This window comes from Homo sapiens, chromosome 6 (assembly GCF_000001405.40).
Source record: "Homo sapiens chromosome 6, GRCh38.p14 Primary Assembly".
NCBI classification, from domain to species: Eukaryota; Metazoa; Chordata; class Mammalia; order Primates; family Hominidae; genus Homo; species Homo sapiens.
Window position 1 is genome coordinate 119,644,112 of NC_000006.12, and position 25,363 is coordinate 119,669,474.

The 25,363-nt window shown below is 36.0% G+C and overlaps 2 long non-coding RNA genes across 2 annotated transcripts in view; both read left to right on the forward strand.

Annotated features, from left to right (window-relative positions):
* Window positions 1-25,363, forward strand: part of LOC105377975 (uncharacterized) — a 295,277-nt gene that overhangs the window by 94,304 nt on the left and 175,610 nt on the right. The window lies entirely within an intron of this gene.
* LOC105377972 (uncharacterized) lies at window positions 9,953-19,004 on the forward strand. The gene is made up of 3 exons (XR_001743826.1): window positions 9,953-10,079; window positions 13,735-13,906; window positions 17,131-19,004. It is a non-coding gene; the product is annotated as an uncharacterized LOC105377972 (long non-coding RNA).

Sequence of the window (25,363 nt, forward strand, 5' to 3'; positions counted from 1 at the left end):
AGAGGGAAGCAGATGTTGCTGGAGTCATTTCAAGGTTTCAAAATTTGTTTAAAGCAGAGCCCAAAGAATGATAACTGCCCAGATGAATTCAAGCAAGCCTTTCAAGGCTATCGGAAAAGAAAGAAAATCAGACCCGATATACCATCGATAGCAACACTGAGGCAGCATCTGAGACCAATTGCTGGTGCTGTTGGGTTCTGGTTGAGATTCTGTTTCCTATTGTTTAAAAATTAGTGAATAGGGAAGGTTTTCCTGAAGAGAAATTATTGTAGAAAATAGAGAGTGGGTAATACAGAAAAGGTAGATAGCTGTGCATTGGAGGCCTGATACAGTCAGTTACCTGCTCTGATCTTTCCTGGCCCCTGCTAAAAATTGTAATGGGTCCTCTGTCTTCTCCCTAAAGCCCCATACATGTTTACCATACTGGATTGTTTCCTGTTGCCCAAATGAATCTTCCATTCTCCTAGTTTAATGGCTTCACTTATCTTGGTTTCCCTGATGGACATGCTCTTCTTTCTCACTTTTTCCTGATGAAATCCCAGCTCTTTTTCAAGGCCTAGATCAAATGCCATCTTCTACACAAAGGATTTCCTGTTGATTCTAGTCTATCATTTTCTTCCTCAATTCTCTCATAGAACCACATAACTTTCTGATACCACTTTCCTTCTACTTGTACTGTAGTTATTTGTATTTATGTCTTTTCTCTCCAACTATTTTGTAAACTTCTTGAGATCATGTTGAATTTATTTTTTTGTATGCCACGTAGTACAAATCAGAATTTCTGGTCTTAGTGTGTGATACATAAATGTTTAATTCAATTGAAGATAATTGAAGAATAAAAAGACTAATTTCTTTTGGCATTACTAGGCATGAAGACATATTAAATATGATAAATTAGCAGAATAGTGTTATAAAAAATGAAGTGAGATGAAGGGAAAAATTGGTAGCCAAACAGTTCTTAGTAAATATAAGGTGACACAAATAATGAAATATTATAAATTAATGATGGTGGGATAGTTACTTTGATATTTGTTTAAAAAATAGGAAAAAGAAACAAAATTGGTTTAGATCTTATCTTATACTCTACCAAAACAAATTCCAGAGAGAAATACAGAAATAACAATAAAATAATCAAGCCAGAAAATATAGAAAAGATTAACATCTATTCTGTGTCTAGATTTGGAAGGACTTATAGCCTTAAAAGCACTGGAAGAAATCATAAAGAAAAAAATTATAACAGACTTTAAAAACAAGTTCAAACAACTTTGGTACTTAAAAACAAACAATACAAACCATAATTTAAAGACAAGCTTCAACTCGGGGGTGGGGGAAAATATTTGCAAGGAATATCATTAAAAACAGAATTTATAACCCTAAAGTATAAAGAGCTTACATAAATTAGATGAACAATAGGACTACAACAGTACTTAAACTGATAATTGATAAAGAGAAAATAAAATGTTCAACCCATTAAAGAAATGCAAATTAAAAGAACAATGAGCACCAATTTTTGACCTATAGAAAATATTAAAGATTTAATGTACTGAATTTTAATGTGGGTCAGTGAGTCATTCATTTATATAATACTAATGGAAGTGAGAATGTTCTAGAAAGCAATTTAATAATATGTATCAATAGACTAAAATATTCATAACTACTTACTGATTAATTCCACTTTTAAGAATCAATACCTAAAGAAATTTTGCACATAATGATGTTTATAAAAGTGTTATTAAGAATGGTGAATATGAGCAACAATCTACAGTATATATTCAGCATGAGGAAAATTAGTAAATTATAACATATTTAGAGAGAAAATTGTATGTAGTCTCTGAAAATAATTTTTATAAAGAGTTTTGAACGATGTGAATAATTTCTTATGATATGATATTGAACAAGAACATAAGATATAGTATACCTGTGTAAAATTTCATACAAAGAAAAGTTTTTCAAAACATTTGTGCTGGTGTTGGCATAATACATGTATTTTTCTCTTTCATAATTTTCAGATTTTCTCAATAATCATGCAAAGATTTTTAGACAGAAAACTGTAAGCAAAATATACAAATTTTTAAGACTAATGACTTCAATACAAAACTGGGAAAGTAAGATGATAAAGGACCTACATGTACAAAATAGAATTTGAATTTCAGAGTATTTTCAAAGGCCTTTAAGAAGGTATGGCATTTAGAAGAACATTCAGTTTGCATAGATTGAAGTAATTTTAATAGAGGGATCACTTATGAAAGTAGAAGAGATAGTTCATAATCCAAGGGCTACCAAAATGAGAAGCTGTTTCCACCCCTAGAGCTGAGGTGGCAATGAGATAGAGTGGTGACAAGAATCAGAAGAGGGTAGCTGTATGGAGAAGTTTGCCTAGCAGGGTCAACCAGTATGCAGAGATCAGAAGGGGGAGCAAGGGGCATAATGACCTCAATTTCACTTGCCTCCTACTTGCCAAGCTCCTGCAGATGCTCTCCATTGGGTGACCCCAACTGGAAGTTAGGGACCAAGGGGGCCTGTTGGTGCAGATCAGCTTCCCAAGGCACGTAGCAGAGTGGAGGGAAGAGAGGAGATCAGAATGATAAATGAAAATACGGCACAGATGCTGTGGGAAAAAAAGAAAAGCTTGTCATGAAGGATCTCATAATGCATTCTTTACAAACAAATTGTTGGTTAAAGTCAATATGAGTTGGGGAATTGATTAATTGAAGATCTTCCAATGGAAGAAGAAGCCTGATCAATAAGGTTTGTTGCATATGCTACACATAGCAAAAGATTTTTGGATACAGCTAATATTGTGGGGGAAATAAAACAGGCTATAGTAACAAACAATTTATAAACTCTCATTAAAATGAAAGCAGAATGGCAAAGACTCACCAATTTAGGGGTAAAAATTTCCTGGAATAGCAAAAATGCTGTAGCTTACAGATAAATATGTGTTTGAATCAGGGAAAGAACTAAGAAGGTTAGGACAAATTGTAGTAAAGAGGATACAGAAACTGGTGAGGTGAAAATGATGGTAATTTGAAAAACTGGAATGTAGCAGAAGTGTATGTAAATTGCATACATTTTGGTATCTTTATGTAAAAAAGAACAAAAGTGGAAGTTTGGGAGGTGAAGTTTGAAGTTAAAAATCTATTATGGTTTTGTTATTTGTGATTATTTAAATCTAAATTTAATAACAAGTTTTGCAATCTCCCTGTCTGCTTTATCGAGTGTTAATGTTCAATGATACTGCATTCATTTGAAACACATTTTTCGTGAATTACTTAGTAATGTGGTCATGTTACAAAAAGCAGAATACAGTAGCTTGCCAAAGTTTTTGGATAATTGTTTTAGTGGTCATAGTACAGTATCACTCTTGGCAAATAAAATGTGGCTGTTTTGGAAAGACAGCATTTCCTTCAAAGGTTAAAAATATATTGACAACCTCTGAGATTCAACAGGAACTCATCTTTAAGATAAGGCCCACATAAAAAGTTTAGATATTGCCTGATGGCAGAGAGATAAATGGTTGTCAGAAAATGAAAATGGCTCATTTTATAAGTGTGAGTGGCAATTTTCCTATAACTCTGTCATATGGATAAAGTACATGCCTTTCTGACGCAGCCTGGCTGAAGGGAAGGAAGGAATAGCCAGGATTAATGAGATAAATGAAAATAATATTTATTTTCTGAGGCACTCTATTAACATCTTCGAGTGGGTCTGCCAGAATCTTTCTCCCAATATCATTATGTGAATGACATAGTTAAGACATTTATTAAGTTAACAGAAGTAGAGAATAGAGGTACCCTGCAGAAACATCTTTGGCAAAAATGAAGGGATCTGTTGCGACTCTGCATATATCTGTTGCTCTTCTTTTGCCTAATTTTATCTCTGTGTGTTTGAAATGTGTTCACTGTACTTCCCTTCTATTTAGAGCTTGATAAAGGGAAGTTGAAAGGTATAATATGACATTTTTAACTCTTAAGAATAAAGATAACCTATGGCTTAGCTAAAATATTAATTTCACAGCAAAACTATTGCTTGTATCAGAGAGAGAAAGAGGAGAGGAGAGGAGGGGAGGGCAAAGGAGGGGAGGGCAAAGAAGGGGAGGAGAAGAGAGGAGAGATTTGCTAATATAAGTTGTGACCTAAAACTTAAAAAGCATTTTTAATTGGTCAGACATGGAGTATGTTTGCCTGTTTAATCTTTTTACTTGCTTGTGTATTGAAGAGTACTTTCAAATTTAGCTGAGTGTCCTCTACACATTCAGGAAAGTAATACTTACGGGAGATAGTCCTGTCAGATACATGTGTGATATATTTGTTAATATATAGTATAACACAAACTTGCATTATACTATAATTTCCCACTCACTTACCCTAAATGCTAACCCACTAATGTTAGTATGAGACCAGCCATGAGGCAGTCTTGAATTTATATGCTACTTCCCTGTCTCGGTCATTTTATCTTGAAAGTACCCTACAACATCTACAGATATCTCATACAAAATACACCAATCAAAAGACCAACAGCATATGTGTGTACATTTTGCCTTGCCCAGTGTATCCTTTTGGATGTTTTTGGTTCAGTCTTCAGATCTGCATAAGTATTGGAGGTTCTCAGGGGCCCAATAATCCCACTCTCCAGAGGCAAACTCTGTGATTAGTATTTATCTTTCCAGTCTTACTAGATGCACATTTAAATGTGTATATGTTCTATATTATGCATACCGAACTGTAATCTGCTTTTACTCATGTAATATGTGGTAAGTCAGTACCTAAAAATTATCTGATCCTTTCAAGTGGCTGCATGGTATTCTGTTGTATGGACCCACTCCAATTTATTTTTAAAATGATTGGTGAATTCTAGGTTGTTTCAGATATTAGTAATGAAATAACGACTTTATGAACCTCACAATGACACATACATTTGCATTTTTATTTATTCCATAGGATAAATCCAAAATGTGGAATTACTGAGACTACATACATTTAGATTGTTGGTGTGCTTTGCAACATTGCCATTAGAAAGGTTGATTAAAATTTTACTTTTTAGGCCAGGCGCGGTGGCTCATGCCTGTAATCCCAGCACTTTGGGAAGCCAAGGCAGAAAGATCACCTGAGGTCAGGAGTTCGAGAGCAGCCTGGCCAACATGGTGAAACTCGGTCTCTACTAAAAATACAAAAAAATTAGCTGGGTGTGGTGGCCAGCGTCTGTAATCCCAGCTACTCGGGAGGCTGAGGCAGGAGAATTGCTTGAACCCAAGAGGCGGAGGGTGCAGTGAGCCGAGATTGTACCACTGTACTCTAGCCTGGGCAACAGAGTGAGACTCCATCTCAAAAAAAAAATTTTACTTTTTAAAAGTTAAAATCCAAGCAGTTAACAAAAAAAGAAAAAGGGGGGGTGGATTTTCTTTTTTCTGTTTTCCTAGAGTACACTCATTTTCCTCATTATTTGGGGCAGATGTTAAATGGTATCATTTTTCTCTCTCTCGTGCCACTTTATGAACCCTCGTGTTTGCCAGTGTTCTTCCTTTAATGTTGTGACCAGAGTTACTGATCCTTATTATAATCCGTGTGGACTCTTCCCTTTCGGAAAGAATGCACATCCCTTTGTGGGATTAACCGAGAAGGAGAGGTTCTCTGTCATCTGATGAGATTGATGCTAATCCTGACATGACTCACTGAGTGGAACCTATTTCTTTCTAACTTAATGGTGGTGATTTTTGCAGCTTTGAAAATAAATTCTATTTAATATTTGCCTGTGACTTAGGATTTTTTCCCCCGTGAACAATTTCCTTTGTACAGCAGCATATATGATTATATGATTTCTGATTGTGTGAATTTCAGCTGGATCAGAGCATAAATGGTCAAACTCAATAGCCATTAGACATTGATAGTTGTTAAAACTTCTACCAGACACATTATTTCTCTGTGTGCTCAAGCATGGATTTCACAGTTTAACAGAAGACTTTTTCTGCATGTTATATTTAAGAAATCACATTGAATCTTATGAATATAGTAAAAAGAATGTGTTTAAGATTTAAAGCCTTGTGTCATATCATTTCAATGTTATAATAACATGTATTGGGGTAGTAAAAATGGCACTTTCTCTGGCTTTACGTGAGACTGATATTATATATGTGCATGAAAGGAATTGATGAGAAATGGAACTGTGAATAAATTTTTTCATATCAGTTATACCTAAGACCATGAGAATATGATTATCTAGAATGTGAATTTTTGAGTTTTTAATCACACAGTGGTTTGTAAATTTAAGATCATAACATTAAGTAATTTTCTTCTTAGAACAAGGGTTATTTAATCTGGAAAATGAGGATAATATCATTCCCGTCCCACATATAAAACAATGTATTTATAATATAATAAATCTGTATTTGACAAGAAAGAAAATATGCATCCATTTTCTAATCCTTGTTATTACCTAAATCCTGTTTTTGCTGCTTATGTAAAATGTCAAGAATTTTATGTGGCTGTTCTTGATGCTTCATACTAATTGTCTAAGTAATCCAAGTACATAGTTTATGTGTCCAACTTCAAAAAGAGATCACCCTCTAAAGGGAGAAACATGGACATCACTGGGGAACAAAAAGTTCAGGAAAAAAAATTCCTCCTATTTTGTATTTTCATTTTGCCTTACATTCTTCTTTTCCACATTCCCAGTCTGATTTTTAATGCTGTGTCAAGTATATGTATTAAACCAATATCTGAGAGTTGACATTAAACACTTCAAAATAAAAACAATTTCTGCTTTACAGATGGTAAAATGGAATCCCTGTGAGTTTAAGTGACTTTCTGAAGAGTGTACATCTAGTAGGGAAGGAGCTGGGCCTGGAACCCAGAGCTCTTCTGTACCCAAACATTGTCCTCACCTAATCTTCCCTGCCTCCTTGGGCATTTTTTCTCATGTATCAATGTTGTATAACCTGTGTATTTCATGAGTACTAGCTGGTATAGTAAAAAGAATGCTGCACTAAAAATCAGAAATCTGGAGTTCTGGGTCAACATTTTTATCTTATTAGTTCTGTGATCTTAGGCTTTGATGTAAATTTTCCTGAACTTTCTGGAGAATGAGGCTGATAATAATATCTACTTTTCTTACCTACTTTGCAGGAATGATGTATGCACACAATACAAATTTTATGTATTGTGAAGCTTTCTGAGAAACTATTATTGTTCAAAATTTTCACCGTGCCTCCCTATGGCAGGATTTATACTTCCTCTTTCCACTGATGTGTGATTGGGCATGTGCTTTGCTTTGGCAAATAAAACATGAGCAGAATTGCTATGCTTTGTTATAAGCAGAGACTTTTGATTTCTTTTCCCTGACTCTATTTTCTTTTATTTCTGCTTGCAAACCAGGCAATTCTTTTCTGAGCTCATCTCTTTTTTGTAATTAGTTGCTAAACATAGCCAAGAGTAGCCCATATACAGTATTAAAAAGCGCCAACTGTTAAAAGACAAAACTTTAAAGGCCTTGAAGCCACATGAGCTAATTAAAACAGACAAAATGAGACAAAAGCAAGAGTATGGCCCTAAATTCCATTGTTAAAAATCTTCAAATTGACTGAGATGACACCTACTAAATTATTTCAGCTGGATAAAATTTCCCAGGGAGAAAAGATCATAACTCTCTGACAGAAGCCTGATATGCTAAATCTAGTGTGGAGGTGTGTTCTAAAAGGAATTGCTGCTGTGGCTTTTGTCACATAGTGTGACTTGAATCAAATAGTCAAGACATTATTATTATTATTATTTATTATTATTATTTTGAGATGGAGTCCTGCTCTGTTGCACAGGCTGGAGTGCAGTGGCACGATCTCTGTTCACTGTAACCTCTGCCTCCCGGGTTCAAGCGATTCTCCTGCCTCATCCTCCCTCAGCCTCAGCTGGGACTACAGGTGTGTGCCACCACGCCAGGCTAATTTTTTGTATTTTTAGTAGAGACGGGGGTTTTACTGTTTAGTCAGGATGGTCTCGATCTCCTGACTTCGTGATCCACCCACCTCAGCCTCCCAAAGTGCTGGGATTACAGGCGTGAGCCACTGTGCCCAGCTGATGTTGTGTTTTTATAGGCTAGTGTGACCCCAAACCCAATTAATCCTAAGTAAAAGAGACTCAATTTTCAAAACTTAATATGACTACTGGGCCTATCATCTTTTATGGGCAGACAACAGGATGTCAAATTTGCTCAGGTTCCAAGAAGGTCTTATGATCTAATATCCTCCTTAGAGATAAAGGAGGATGAGGGAAAAAGAGCTCCCATAGGGCAGAACTCATGGCTATTGAGAATAATGGAATAGAGAGCTTCTCCCCCAGGTAGAAACAGAGCCTAATAAGAAACATTTCCTACTGATTGGTCTGCTAGGGCTACCATAACAAAATACCATGGACTAGATGGCTTAAACAACAGAAATATATATTTTTCACAGTTTTGGAAGCTGGAAGTCTGAGATTAGGGTGCTAGCACGGTGATTTTCTGCTGAGGGCTCTCTTCCTGGCTTGTAGGCAGCCACCTTCTCACTGTGTATTCACCTGGCCTTTCCTTGGTGCATGTATGTGATATGTGTGTGTGTGTGTGTGTGTGTGTGTGTGTATGTGTGGCAGGGTGTGGGGGTCGGTGGGGTGGTAAGAGGCAAGTTCTCTTGTGTCTCTTCTTACAAGTACACTAAAGATGATATCTCTAAGGAAGGAGGTAAGGTTAAATGAGGCCATAATGGTGGGGCCTTGATCTGATAGGAATAAAATACAACTACACTGGGCGGGGGCAGGACTTCATGATATGAATTTTGGAGGGATACAAACATTCACTTCATAATACCTACCTTCAAGGTTGGCTACTTACAATGCTTGAGAGCGGGGTTTTAGAATTGCTGTGAAACAATGGCTGGATGCATCTTTCATTCTTCTTGTTTCTGAATAGGAGTGCTTATTATGATGGGGAGTGGGGAAGGAAGGGCTGATAACTTGACTTTTTTGTTTTGGATCTTTGGACCAAGGGAAGCCACACATAGACCTAATGTTGAAACTCTCATAAGAGTTTGAGTCTCATGCTTTGACCAGATGATGAATCTTTGAATTGCCTCCTTATGGAGATAGGAGGGGAATTATTGTGTTTTGTACATGGACAGAAGATGTTAAATATTCGTGAACAAGAGAGTAGAACTATGATATGACATGACACAATGTGTTTTCTGTCCTCCCTGCTGTGCCCCTTCTTGTGTGTCTGCCTGTGGAAAGATTATATATTCTAATCCCATTGATGTCAGATTTGGCAATAAGGCTTGTTTTGTGTGGCCAAGAAAATGTGAACAAAAGTGATGTTTGTCACTTTCAAGTGGCAACTTTAAGCTAGAGTGTGCTTCACTGGGAGGTGAACAGCATTGTAGATAAAGGTTACTTTGTCAGTCTGAATGCTGTTAAGATAACGCTGAGCAGAACCATAATAGGCTTGTGGGACGGATGTGGGATAGAGAGTAAAAGTACAATGAAACAAAGCTTTTGTTGTGAGCCACTGAGATTTTCAGATTGTTTATTAGCACATTATAACCCAGGCTTGGCAAGCTGATAGCATCCTGTATGCATATAAGGAATTAATTTACATTAGGTGTATATTATATTTAATTCATGCGAAATGATCAAAGGATTAAATAGATACTATTTTATTTAATTTGGTAGGATCTTGAGGGTAAAATTAAACTACAGAAAACCACATTTTCATATTGAGAAGTAGCCCAAAGCAGAGGTAAATAACTTATTTTGCTTCAGTGTTAGTATTATAAGATCCATTAAACTGTTTTAACACAAGTTTGGAATAACGTATTTTTTTTCTTTTTTCTTTCTTTCTTTTTTTTTTTTTTGTGATGGAGTCTTGCTCTGTCGCCCGGGCCGGAGTGCAGTGGGATGACCTTGGCTAATTTTTGTATTTTTAGTAGAGACGGAGTTTTGCCATGTTAGCCCGGCTGGTCTTGAACTCCTGACCTCAGGTGGTCCACCCACCTTGGCCTCCTAAATTTGGAATAACATCTTAAAATGAAGAGCAGAGATTTTGGAAAATAATTAGTTCTTCCGGTGAGTATGCCATGACTCTCCAGCTCCTTTACTTTATCGTGTTGGGGTATAGTGCACTATTTTGGCTTCCAGAGATGACAAACATGCTGATGCACCCAGTCCCATTTTATTGTAATAAATTTAAGATGACTTCAGCAACATTTTCTATGAACTGGCCAAAGCTATTAAGAGGCTAAATCTGCTCTTTCCTAATTTAAATTCAATTGACGCTCCAGTCTGAGATCTCTAGCTTATCTGGTCTTCATTAAGAGCCTGTTAAACTATGGCAAAAGCATTACATTTTGGACATTTACACCATTACATATAATATTAATTGCCCAAGTGTACTAATTAGCTGATTAGAATAACTGTTCTTTGTATATATATCATTTTACTGACTCAAGAGTCTGCATTTTGACTAGCATTAGGAATGGAGAAAAAAAGATTTTTTGTGTTGTAAAGGAAAGAGTCACCCAAGCATTCCATGATCATCAATATTCTTTTGAAAGTTACCTCAACTAAAATTCTTTTAGTCACATCTTGTCTTCAATCACTCAAAAGGACTTGAGTGCTCATTAGTAGGTTTCTCCAACCAATTTTTGGTGCTGGGCATAGTGTTGAAGGAGGGAAATGTAATGAACTTACTCAGCATTGCAGATAGGATCAATTGATCTTCCAGGCAGCAAATACTTGATCAGCTCTTCTCATACTTACCCATATCTTTATGTGGAGACGTCTGAAATCAGTGAACAGCAGCAGCTTAGTAAGTAAGATACCAACAGAATGAGCTATAATTATAAAGACATTCTGTCTGCCTACATTAAGACCCAGAATAATTTGTGGGCATGAGGGCTCAAGCTAATTAACAAGACTGTTTTTTAGTCTTCAATAATTCTAAAGTCATATACCCTCTGTTATCAAGTGAATGCAGAATGAGATCTCAATGCAAATACTTAAGTTTGTAGATATAAAATACAAATATTTGCTTAAAGTTTATATAATGTAAGAAAAAGAAAATTAAGATGGTTTTGTTATCAACACAGAATGATTCCAATTTATTACTTTGGTGCCCAGGACTACTAAGTGTAATGTGATCATTTGTAATAACTCAAACTGGGAGATCTGAGTGGTGAGAAAGCTAAGTATTCTGGGAGTCAGACCACTGAAGTACTGCAATGAAAATATTTTAAAATAGGTGACTTCCTTTATGAAAATAGAAAATAAGGGCTATTTCTAGCATGAATAGTGTATTATTTGAAAAGTCTATGTCTTTGTTTTCTGAATATTGCCAATAGAAGTGCTGATAAAACTCACGGAAATTTCCAAATATGGCCCCCAAACCTCTAATATTATATGTTGCATACTTCCTTGTTTTGCTGTTTATTTATATTTGTGCTTTATTTTCATTTTAATCAGTTTCTGCTCTCCAAATATTTGGGGAAGGTAAATCCTTATTGTCAAATCTTCCTGCAGTGTAACAGGGATAATTTAATATTCTTGTTCATATTTATTCAATACCTAGCTTTCTCTAAGTGCTTATTCAGTTTTAACAATCAGCTTATGTGTTGGAAACAAATTTCTATTGATCATTCACTTGAGTAATTTCTTGCACAATGGCATGGCTAAGACTTTATTTATTTTTGTGCTCATTTTCAATGTTGATATCCCTTGCTGTGTAAATAAGACCATTGTTAAGGAAGACTACAATTTTTCATAGGTGTGTGTTGAAGAAAGTTTAAGTACTTACCATTGAAAAGCACCATTAAGAGATTATTAACTAAGAAACTGATAGTCTGATGTTGCTATAGGATGTAGGATGTAGTATATATATATATTTAGTAAAGGGTATATTCATATAGGATATCATAAGAGATATCCAGTATTTAATCTAGTATAGGAGTCTGAGAAAATATTGAGAAAAAGATAATCAAATATGAAGATATTTCAAAATGATTTTAACTTGATTCATAAATAATTTAGAATATATAGTAACATTAGAAATGATTGTGTGTAACAGAGTATAAACCTTTAGATCTGAGAGTCCTCGGAAATTACTTTGTTCATCTCCTAAATATGAGAGATGAGGGAAAATGACCCAGATGCATCCAATGCCACAGTGCAAGGGAGTGACAGATTTGAGGTTTGAATAAAGGACTCAATGACTAATTAATAATGCTCTTCCACTTGAAAATGACTCCTTAGGTTCTTAAAAAATGATAACTTAGTAAATTTATTAGGAAAATATCAGGGCACAATCAGTGTTTCTTTTTCTTGTCAGATCAGATGAGTATTGGTTGGCATTATGACCCAGCAAAATGGTGATTGTCCTTGAACTACATTCTAAAATTTGTAGTTTCAGAGAGAATTGGTGGAAATTAATATTTAATTGTCCAAAGACAGGTGTGATTTTCTGAAGTTCTTTTTATCTGGATTAACTCATCTTTTGTTTCTATGTGTAATGTCTTTTTGTCCATTTACTGAACAAAAGGCTTGGATAAAGAATATTATCAAAATCTTTTTATTCCATTATTTGTGATATGTGGGAATGCCTATTACAATAAAATGAGCGACAGTTATTTTTCAGTATAACTTGCCTATGCTGACTCCCTACTCCATTGCAATATATGTCTATGTTAGGAGAACTTGATTAATATAGTTCCCATTATTTCTCCAACTCTTTATTCATTTTACTTAGGACGAATAAGGGTAGTTTATCTGATTTGAGAATTTGGGAAAAATAAGCTCATTTCTGCATCAGTTCCACCTTTTTTTTCTCTTCGGGGCTAGCTGGCCCAGGAAAAAAGGATTCTCCACCATGCCAGCCGGAGAGAGGAGAGCTTCTATTGTTTAGTGTTGCCCGTAACAAGGTGGTAAAATCTGCCTAATTCTTGGGTTTAGTTTGCAGGTTAGTCATGGTTCTTGAAACAACCTGTGTCCTCTAACTTAGTCTCATGGGTAATAAATGTATATTTTGATCTATCTTTCTTCCCTATCTAAGTTTTCAATTTGGCAAAAACGAGGGCCCTACTCAGATATCTCAACTAATGCTCCTGGCATAGACCAACAAAATCATAACTCACAAAAATATTATATCTTAAAATTAGCTTAAAAATATAGGGAGAAGTAAACTCCCATTTTCCCCCTTTTCAATCAATTATATTAGTGAACTCTTGAGTGAGTGAGCCTCTGAGGCTGGTTATATATGAAGAGACTTCACACTAGGACACCTTCTTGGTGCTGCAGTCCCTATCTGGTTCTGTATAATGAGATCCTTCATTTCCTACCTTCTGAAAGTCTATGCTGAGCCTTCTCTCTCTCTTGGGAATCTGTCAACCTTGTACATCCAGTATTGCACAGAATCCTGGCTATCTCACACCTGCAAGCTTCTTCCTGAAAAGAAGCTCACCATTTAATTTTTATTTAGTTCTATGTCCATGTTTCTCTCCTTCCCCTAAAACTGTGTTCTCATTGGAGTTTCTCTCTCTTTGTCTCTCTGCCTTTCTCATACATTTCTATATTTCTTCCCTCAGATCTCCACCCTTGCATATAACATACACACATGTATCTGTATCTCTGTATAGTATACATTATTCTTATGTTTTGTACTATAGAAAATAATGAGTGATTTGCAGTGAATAACTCACCCACTTTGCCATGTATATCTCTATTTCTGTAGAGATATATACCTGCTATTACTCTTTAGACTCAACGGAGAAGAGTTACTGAAACTGACAGCCTAGAGAAACTGACAGCCTACCTCACTTCACCCCCAACCTTTGAAGAGGGAAGTCAATAATACAAATGGAGAGCCCATTGCAATTTGCTAGACTGCAGTGCTCGGTGTTGAGGTATAGTTGCAAATTTGATTTTTTTGAGAAGAAAATACGTGCTACTAAGAGTTTGATGAGCTTCAGTGGAGTCATTTTTTTCTTTATCTGTTGCACCTTCTTCTGACTACAACTTTTGATATTTTATATCCTATAAGTCTTCACTTGGAGTATAGTGAAAAGCAACATTTGAAATTTCTTTCTTTTGGAGCCATACTGTTAGAAAAGGAGAGATTTTACAAAAATTTAGAAAATGGTCAGTGCCTCATTTGGCAAAGCAGTATGAAGTGATAGGAATTGTTTCTAGGATGCCGAAAGTCAGACCAAATTTACCAGTGTTGGAGGAATCTTGTTTATAAGGTCTTGAAATTCAGATCATCTATGAGGTCAAATTAAACTACTCAGCAAGTTTTAACTGCAACACTGGCATTACACAGCTTCAAGGACAAGGACTAAAGTCAATTAAAGACTGAGGCAAAGTTCACTGCCAATCAACTGTGTTGAGAGGATGTCAAGTAAATTGCTCTGTGATGGGCTGAAGAAAGGCAACTTAGTGCAGGGTAACAGAGGACCTCTGCTAAGCTGACCTCAGTTCCAGTCTGTATTAGCTTCAAACATTTGAGAAGCAACTTAGATCAGGTTGATGTGAGGATAAGTGGGTGATCAAGAAAAATATCCAATTGATTGAGAGGTGAATGCAGAGCCTAAAGCCGTATCTGTCTTAATGGGGAGCAAGAGAGTTTTAAAAATTAATCTTTGGTTTCATTTAAAATATTAGTGCTAAAATATCAACAGGAAAAGAGCTATTGACTGTGTGTTGACATTTTGGGTCATAAAGGTACTGGAAGTAACACAAATATACCCTTCAAATGCTGATACAATTGAGTGACATTTACATGGGAGAAAGACATTAAAACCATATTTTCCCCTCTCAAGGATATGCACCAAGGTTAGGGAATTAAATAATGGCCTTTTCTAAGGATTTTTTAATTTATAATGTCTAGTTTTGTTCCAGGGGCTTCTTGGGCATTAAGACTGATATCCAAGTTGACCCCAGGACCTGAGGGCTTTCAGATCCTCTTTAATGATGATAAAGCCCTCTCAGGGCAGTTTTGTGTAACCTTGTATCAACATTAACCAAAAGGGTAAGCTGAAACTGAGTCATATCTCAGAGCTGATGATGACAAACAATAGTGGTTCCAAAACTTTGTCATATTTTTGTTAATATTAGCCAAATTACAGAGCAAACATTTCCTTATGCATGTAATTATTTCCTTTCAGGACAGAGGTCACATATAGCATCCTTGGAGTTCAAATAGCTTATATATAGGTTTTGTTTGTCCTTTTCAGTTTGACAAACATTGAGAATGTTTAAAAAGTTCTCCAGACCTTCAGATTCTTTTGAAAAATGAGAAGCCGTGGCACCACTCTTGCCACTTCCCTCATGGCAATGGCTTGATGAAGTTGAGTTGTGTTGCACATCCTAGCAGAGAAGCTACTTTCCTGGGTGATACCACTCCCTACCATGTGGTCCCATGTGTTAGACCAGCTGCCTTACTTACTTTACCTGAGTGGCCTTGTAGATATTTGAATTTGTGACCATGCTTTTGACAATGTAGCGCTCACGACTGCCTGGTCTATCTTCAGATTGTCTCCTGTAGACCTTTTTGTCTATCTTGCCAGTAACATCAATTTCCTATATATTTGAAAAATAAAATACTAGAACAGATGAAAAAAAATCAATCCTTATTTCCCTCACCAGCAACTGTGTCAGACTTTGCCATCTTGACCATTCTTTATTTTAAAAATTTACATTATCTGTCATATTGGTGTGGTGGGTGGTGGTGGAGAATGTGAGAAGATTAAATAAGAAGAAATTGGTATACTGACATTCTTCTTTGTGTAATATAAGATTAGCTAAATAAGTAGAAGTTAGGAAATAGGAATATTTACTTGGTGTAAAACAGTATTCATGTTGTCCTTTGCGTTTCTGTCTTGTATTCTAACAGTGCTCTGATATGTTGGTCTTTCTCTTGAGATCTAACTAACCTGTGTCACTTTGCTGCCTTTCATCTCTCTGGCAATGTGTTACATTTAATGATTAAATTTCAGTGGATATATGTGTGAACACCTTAGGCAAGCTGCTCTATGGGGAAGGAAACTCTCCTAACAGTCTTATTTTTCTTTGACTTACCAAGTAGCAAAACTCCAACTTGCTGCTCTGGTTCAGTGAGTGGAATAAATTAGGGTTAGGCATATCGGTATTGAAATTCCAGTTCTGATGGCGACCCAGTGTTAAACTGATTCCAATTTATTGCCTGTACCACATTATTCTTATTTTTTAGTTTTTAGTTGAATTTTTAACATTCTGTTCAACCAGACATTGACCAACATGATCCTTAATGTATGGATGAGGAAGGAGTGTTAATTGCCCTTTCTTTTTATCTTAGAAACACATAAACACATACAGTGAGTATGAAAGCATCCTAATCTTATTGTCATCTCTTTTAAAGAGTGCTTATACGTAATACTTCTTTACAAAAACTAACATGATTATAGAAGTTACCCCTCCCATTTAGACATTTTCTGGTCTGATTTCAAGATTTCAAATAACACCAAAACCTGAAGATGATAAGATAAAGTATACCCTCACACATTAGAAATTTGATTAGTTACTTGTTAATATTATATTTTGGAAAACAATGGTGGTATTTATTGAGTTTTACAATATGTACTGTAGGATGACTGGCAATGCAAATTGGGAGACTTTGTAGATGAAAATATCTTGATCATTTGCTTAAAACCCAAATTTACCCTACAGGGGAATAAAGCCGAAGACAGCATATTCCATGAGACATGAGTAAATCTCAGAGGAAAGCAAATAGTTTGCACAGTAAGAAACAGAATTTTTTTAAAGTACATTCCAAGGTTGGAGATGTATAAATACCTTGAACACGGAGACTAGTTTTATTCATCTGTGAATCTCCAGGGCTGAGCCCCGTGCTGATCTATGGGGAAGCACTCAGTAACTGTCAATACCTTGAATATGGTGGTGTGGGGAATTAGGCTGCTACTAAGATTTCTAGGGACAGACAGGCCCCGTGGGAATGCTTGTCTCCCAAGGACCTACCACTAATAACAAATGTCCTTCAGACAATGTAAAAATGATATGGAAACATGTTACCGTTGCTGTAATAAAATATGCTTGTTAACTTAAAGACCAGTTGAACTCAGTGTATTTTCAGAGACCCAGATAGAGGCAAGCCTTGAAAACTGCTGACTGATGCAAAAACAACTGGAAACTGAAGATACAAAAATTATGTAAGAAAGAATAATGAATTGCTCGTTTTCTTTTTCTAGGATAAATTAATGCTGGAAGAACACAGAATTTTAGAGCTCTTGAATGTACGTTCTAGCATAGTGCAAATGAATGTTAGACATGACACTAAGGATAATACTGATTAAAGGCTTTGCACATCAGTGATAGAGTTATGATCTAGATTAGTGGCTTTCAAAGTTTTCTGAACACTAGGTATGTCCCCTTAGATAGATGCATATACATATAAGTGAAAAGAACATGATTATAGAGGGTTTCTCCCAAGTGGAGACATTTTTTAGATTGATTTCAACATTTCAAATAAACTCATGATCACACTCATCCAGTTGCTCTGTGATAGTTATTTTTCCTTCTCTTTTACTATTTTAACTTAAAAATAGGTTGGTTTCAATCCATTAAATTGATTTTATGACTCACTAATAGGTTGTAAAAACCTGTTAGTGAGTCATAACTTTCATAAGTTTGAAAATCACTGTAGTAGAGCCACCAAAAGCATAAGAAACTAAGTTGATACAAATGTTTGGTTTTGTTTATTTTTTCCTTAAAGCAGTGCTTACTAAACACCTTGAGAGTACTTAGTCATTCAGTCTTCCTTGGCTTATTTAGTTAATATGTGGTAATCATTGATAAGCACACCTGTGGGAGGCAGGATTCTAAGATGACCCCCAAGATTTCCCATCCCCTCCCCTGACTGATGTTCATACTTTGCAAAAATCTCTGGAATGATGAATTGGATTTTTACTTTGGTGGTAAAAATAAAAGATTATGTTAATGGAATAGTTGATGCTAAGATAAGGAGATTTATCTAGTGGCCTGAACAAGAAAGGAAATAAGAACCGAAGGGAATCACATAACACATTTAAAAGCAGAGAGTTTTCTCTGGCTAGTGGCAGAAGAAAAAGTCAGAGATTCAAAGCATGAGAAGAATTTGATGCTCCATTACTGACTTGAAGATGGTGGGTACCACAAGGCAAGGAACATGGGCCTTCTCTGAGAGCAGCTCTGACTGATAGCCAGCAAGGAAACAGGGACCTCAGTCTTACAAAGCCAAGGAATTAAATTCTGTCAAAAAATGAGAATAAGCTTAAAAATAGACTTTGTCGTATAACTTCAGGCAAAAAACCTTGTCTAACACATTGGTTTTAACCTTGTGAGTCCTTAGCTGAGAATCCAGTCGGGCTACATCAGACTTCTGACCTACAGAACTGTGAGCTAGTACATTTATGGTGGTATATGCTACAAGTTTGTGGTAGTTTGTTTTGAAGCAATAGAAAATTAATATACTGACAAAAGTACTTTGTCATTCTTGATCGTAAAACATTCTGTTTAGCACATTCTCCCTACAAGGCAAGAAAGTATTGAATACATTATTGAATATTATAAAGACCAGTATTAAACAAGGAAGATTTTCTTTATTCTTCAATCATTCTGCTTAATTGAGGGGTTGCTTTGTGAATATTTCTGTCAATAATAATTTTTTCCATTTAAAAAACATGCCTCAGAAGATTTAAATGGCAAATTTATACACTAGATACTGGCCTGAGTTTATACGTGAAGATGAAATACATAAAGAGTAGAAACTTGCTTAATGTGGCAAACCTACAAAATGTTGGAACTGGCTAGATCACAGATATTGGATTAATTTATTCTTTGATGCATACACTTACTCAATACTATTTATCATAAGAAACATTGTTCTAGGTCCACAGAATATTGTGGTGGTCAAAACAGAAAAAGCACTTCTCTAATGAGGCTTATATTCATGTTTGGACATTATAAAATATTTTCTATAATATGGTTCTTTCAAGCTTTTTTAAAACTTGTGAAATATAACATGTATGTATATTTATGTACGTGTATATATAATATATAATTATAATATGATATATAATATATAATTACTATATAATATATATAATTATTACATAATATATAATTATAATATAATATATAATATATGTAATTATAATATAATATATTATATATGTAATTATCATATATATGTAATTATAATATAATATATATGTAATTATCATATATATGTTATATATAATTATTATATATAATGTTTTTATATAATTATATATACATATATAATTTATATAATATGTATAAATATTATATATAAATAATATATAGTCTACTCATTATATAATATGTAATATATAATATATTATATAATATATAATACAATATATAATATGCAATATAATATAATATATAATATAATATATATAATAGTGCACAAACTAAGGATGTACAGCTTAATGCTCTATAGCAAAGAAAACCTTGAGTAAACATCAAATACAGCAAAACATGATAGATAATACTCCAGGGCCCTTCATAGACCCAGTCACAAACACTAGCAATCATATCCCTGATGGTCACCCTTTTCTTGAATTTTATGGCAAACTCTTCTTGGTTTTATTATCTTACCTTCCAAGCTGGCATTCCTAAATGTAATTTTTTAAAAACTTTATAAAAATAGACCATATAGTATGTATTCTTTTGTATCTGGGTCATCTCAACATGAAAAGTTTGTGAGATTTATCTATGTTACTGTGTTCATTTTCACTGCTGTGTAGCATTTATGTGAATATCACAATTTACTTGTCAATTTCATTTGCTAGGCCTTTGGGTTGTTTCCTGTTTTGCTGTATGAACATTCTTATACCTGCCTTTTGTGTGTTTGTGTGCATGCATTTTTGTTATTTGCGCGGGAGTAGAATTGCTGGTCAGATGGCATGAGTTCAGCTTTAGTTGCAATTATAAACATATTTTCCCCACTAGTTTAATCAACAGATTCTAGAATGAGCCCCAATAAATTCCACTTCCTGGGGTCCATGCCTTTGTGTGATTTTCTTCCTTTCAGTGTGAGCAGAACCTGTGACTTCTTATCAATGGAATGTGGCAAATGTGAGGAAAAGTCACTCTCTTGATTAGATTACTTTATATAGCAAAGGTGAGAGGATGTCACCTTCATGATTGTTATATCAGATTCTATCTGAATAGACTGGAACAAGGCACTCTTGTTGGCTTTCAAGAAGTATGGTGTCATGTTTCAAGAGGGCCTATAGACATCGTCATGTGGTAAGGAACTTTGGGCAGCCTCTATGAACTCTCAAGTGATCTCTAGCTGACAGCTAGCAATAAAAGGAAACCTCAATCTGTAAGAAAATAAGTATGTTTTTCGATGAATGATGTTTCAAATCTATTAATCTTTTCCCCTTTTCCCCTTATAGTTGTTGCTTTGTGTGTTTTCATCTTCCCTGAAATAATGAATATATTATTCTATATTTATGAGTTTTGTTATTTTAGCATATAATTTATATTCATAATGTAACCATAGTTTATTTTGTGTCAAGTATATAATGGAGGTCATCTCTTTTTTTTCCTTATGGTATAAATATCTGATTTGCTGACAACAGACACATGAAAAAATGCTCATCATCTCTGGTCATTAGAGAAATGCAAATCAAAACCGCAATGAGATACCATCTCACACCAGTTAGAATGGTGATCATTAAAAGTCAGGAAACAACAGGTGCTGGAGAGGATGTGGAGAAATAGGAACACTTTTACACTGTTGGTGGGAGTGTAAACTAGTTCAACCATTGTGAAAGACAGTGTGGCGATTTCTCAAGGATCTAGAACTAGAAATACCATTTGACCCAGCCATCCCATTACTGGGTATATACCCAAAGGATTGTAAATCATGCTACTATAAAGACACATGCACACGTATGTTTATTGCGGCACTATTCACAATAGCAAAGACTTGGAACCAACCCAATGTCCATCATTGATAGACTGGATTAAGAAAATGTGGCACATATACACCATGGAATACTATTTAGCCATAAAAAAGGATGAGTTCATGTCCTTTGTAGGGACATGGATGAAGCTGGAAACCATCATTCTGAGCAAACTATCACAAGGACAGAAAACCAAACACCGCATGTTCTCACTCTTAGGTGGGAATTGAACATTGAGAACACTTGGACACAGGGCGGGTAACATCACACACTGGGGCCTGTCATGGGGTGGGGAGAGGGGGGAAGGATAGCATTAAGAGAAATACCTAATGTAAATGACGAGTTAATGGGTGCAGCACACCAACATGGCACATGTATACATATGTAACAAATCTGCATGTTGTGCACATGTACCCTAGTGAGAGGTGACAGCATGCTGGCAGCCCTCGCTCACTCTTGGTGCCTCCTCGGCCTCAATGCCCACTCTGGCTGTGCTTGAGGAGCCCTTCAGCCCACCGCTGTACTGTGGGAGCCCCTCTCTGGGCTGGCTGAGGCCGGAGCCGGCTCCCTCTGCTTGCGAGGAGGTGTGGATGCAGTGGCATGGGTGGGAACCGGGGCTGTGCGCCACGCTTGCAGAGTTTTGGGTGGGCGTGGGCACTGTGGGCCCAGTGCTCTGTGTCTAGCTAATCTAGTGGGGACTTGGAGAACTTTTGTGTCTAGCTCAGGGATTGTAAAGGCACCAGTCAGCACCCTGTCAAAACGGACCAATCAGCTCCCTGTAAAACAGACCAATCAGCTCTCTGTAAAATGGACCAATCAGCAGGATGTGGGTGGGGCCAGATAAGGGAATAAAAGCACACTGCCGGAGCCAGCAGTGGCAACCTGCTTGGGTCCCATTCCTGACTGTGGAAGCTTTGTTCTTTGGCTCTTTGCAATAAATCTTGCTCTGCTCACTCTTTGGGTCTGCACTGCCTTTATGAGCTGTAACACTCACTGCGAGGGTCCGCGGCTTCATTCTTGAAGTCAGTGAGACCAAGAACCTACCAATTCCGGACACACTAGAACTTAAAGTATAATAATAAAAAACAAAAACAAAAACAAAATATCTGATTGGCTGAGCACTGCCTGCATCTATTCCCACTGTCTGCAAAGCTATTTTATTATAAATTGACTGTAAATAAATAAGTGTGTGTTAGTGGGTCCCTGCTCCATTGTCTATTGTGATATTATCTTTTCTTTTTTCTTTTTTTTTTTTTTGAGACAGAGTCTCACCGTGTCCAGGCTGGAGTGCAGTGGCGCAATCTCGGCTCACTGCAACCTCCGCCTCCTAGGTTCAAGTGATTCTCTTGCCTCAGACTCCCAAGTAGCTGGGACTACAGGCGCCTGCCACCATGCCCCGCTAATTTTTGTATTTTTCGTAGAGATGGGGTTTCACTATGTTGGCCAGGTTGGTCTTGAACTACTGACCTCATGATCCGCCTGTCTCGGCCTCCCAAAGTGCTGGGATTACAGGCATGAGCCACCACGCCTGGCCCTGTGATACTATCTTTTCAAATATTGCTTTGCTCCATTCATTCATGTGTTTTTTCCCCTTAAATTTCAGTTGCACGGGTAGATCTTTTCATTGTCTTTTATGTCTTTTATCCTTTCTCTATGTTGTCTCTTTGCGTTTAGCTTTAAATATATTATTTGTCTTATATTTAAGTTCACTGATTCTTCAGTTCTTTCTAATCTGCAGGCACATTGATCTGTTAAGTTAATTGTGGCTATTTTATTGTATTATTTCTTGTCTAGAATTTCCACTTGTTTTTTATGTTTTCTAGTTCTTTACTGAAATTCTCAGTCTTATCTTTTATCTCTTTATGTGAAGACACGTGTTTTAAAGCCTATGGAGGACAGTGCCTTAATCTGTAGACTGTAAAGTTGTGTTTCTCTTGTATTTTATTCCTGCTGATTTTCTACCATACACATGGCTCCACATATGTACAAGATAATTTTTATTTTGAGGCTGACATTATGTTTGTAATATTGTATGAAGAAATAATTCAATGCTTAGAATGATGACATCTTCCTTTTGAGAGAATTTGTATTTATTTCTGCCTGGAGATCTAACACTCTGAAGGTTTGGAACCACTTGCTCTCAGAGATCACCTTAATACAGTTTCAGGAACTGGTAAGATTCAAAGTTAGGCTACAGTTCTTATGAGACCTATTTCCATTACTAATTTACCTTTATTCCTAGATTCTAGCCCTTTAGAGTCAAAATCCATAGTGAGGTGAGTTCACTAAGAGATCCCACTTCATGGATCTGATCCTGGACTTCAATCACTGCTGACTTATTCCCAAGAGACCATCCAAAGCTTTGCTCAGTCCCTTGGTCTCTCAGCTACTCCTTCTACAATCATTCAGTGCCCTCAGGGGGAAATTAGCACCAAACATAGACTCACCTTCCTGGGTCCCTGTACTTCTTCAGTTTGTGTTTTAAAAAGTTTTCGTTGGACCAGGTGCGGTGGCTCACACCTGTAGTCCCAGCACTTTGGGAGGCCGAGGCGGGCGGATCACGAGGTCAGGAGATTGAGACCATCCTGGCTAACACGATGAAACCCCGTCTCTACTAAAAAATACAAAAAATTAGCCAGGCGTGGTGGCAGGCGCCTGTAGTCCCAGCTACTTGGGAGGCTGAGGCAGGAGAATGGCATGAACCGGTGAGGTGGAGCTTGCAGTGAGCCGAGATCGCGCCACTGCACTCTAGCCTGGGCGATAGAGCGAGACTTCCTCTCAAAAACAAACAAACAAACAAACAAACAAAACCCAAAAAGTTTTCGTTGTCTTTAATGCCTTCAAGCAGCCTTAAAAAATTTTGTCCGGTTTCTTTAGGTATTCCCAACTGGAGAGTTGGCTCAAATTACTTATCATTACCAGAATTAGATGTTTTCAAAGCTTTTAGTTTATTGTTTATATCTTATTAAAATCAGTGATCATGAGAAAAACTTTTTTTTGAATAGCAGGATACATGTTGATATATGTTTTTGAGTTGAGTATCAGATTAGTCCCTTCTTAAGTGAGAATTTTTGAATTGGTTTTCCCTAGAAAAATATTATTTTTGAGATGATCTCTCTGCCAAACTAAAATAAACTATGTTGTTTACCCCACCAGTAGAACTTGTGAGCTACCTAAAGCTGTAGTCTTGACTTCCTTTTTTAGAGTATTGCATTAAGAAGAACTCTAGACAGATTGGTTGACATCCTTTTAATTACTACCCAGTCACTTTGGGGATAGTAGTTGATCATTGAATTTGCATCTGCTGTATTTCCTTTGGAGATCATTCTATGTATATTATAATCTTGACATTGGGACATTAAAATTTAATTTTAATTTTTTCATAATTAAGCTCTTAATATATAACAGAACATAATTTTATTTTGCTGAGACATGAACTTGACTCATGTGCTCTTTGAGGCTGGTGTAGTGCTTGGGGAAAGTCAGCTGTTAGCCCGTGACTGGGCAAGCTGGCTACTTAGAACTCTCCTCTTACTTAGATATACTATGCAGACTTGTGCTTCTCTATAATGATATTTTGAAGTGTAAGGATAGTGAAAATTCCAGGAACTAATCTAAATGTCAAGAGCCTAGTGTGTTTCATTTTAATTAGTAAAGAGAATGTGGTTTCCTCACTTAAGTTTTAAAATCTTACCACAGCTTTTGCAGACAAACAGTTGGAATATTGGGTAGCAAAAACATCTTGAAGAAATGAGCCTGTAAACTGAAAATTGTGTGAGAAACTCTATCCTAATCAGCTTTGGAAGCCAACCACATTAGACCATTTGTAAACACATGCATCTTTATGAAGAAACATCTTGGCATTCTGTCTTTAATATATGAAAGTAAGAAGGAAGTGACTTCCTATCATTCAAAATATGCATATTGAGATTTAGAAGGCAAAATAAATTCTGATCTTGGGCACTAATAGTTAAATTCTTAAAATAGATTTTGATAAGTTAGTTAAAAAAGCTCTTTACTAGTATAGTATAGTAAAATTGTTACCAAAGTATTGAGCCATTTAATCTAATTTTCTTCTTTCTTGTGTAATTTCTGAGTTTTTATAGAAGCTTAATAAAAATCTTAGGGAATAGGGGTTTAGGGTTCACTGAATTTTCTGATTAATTGGTGCTCAAGCTTATAATATTTTTATGTTGATGGAAATAAAAAAATTGCATCCACTTGACTAACTTAGTAAAATAAACTGAACATAATTGAATTTCCTCTTTTGACTGTGACACTTACAATAAATGATTCATAGTGGTCATTCAGAGCACCAGAGTTTCCTGTGTTGTTTAGAAAACTGAACTCAGGGGAAATAATTTCCTCAAATTGTGTGATATTAGT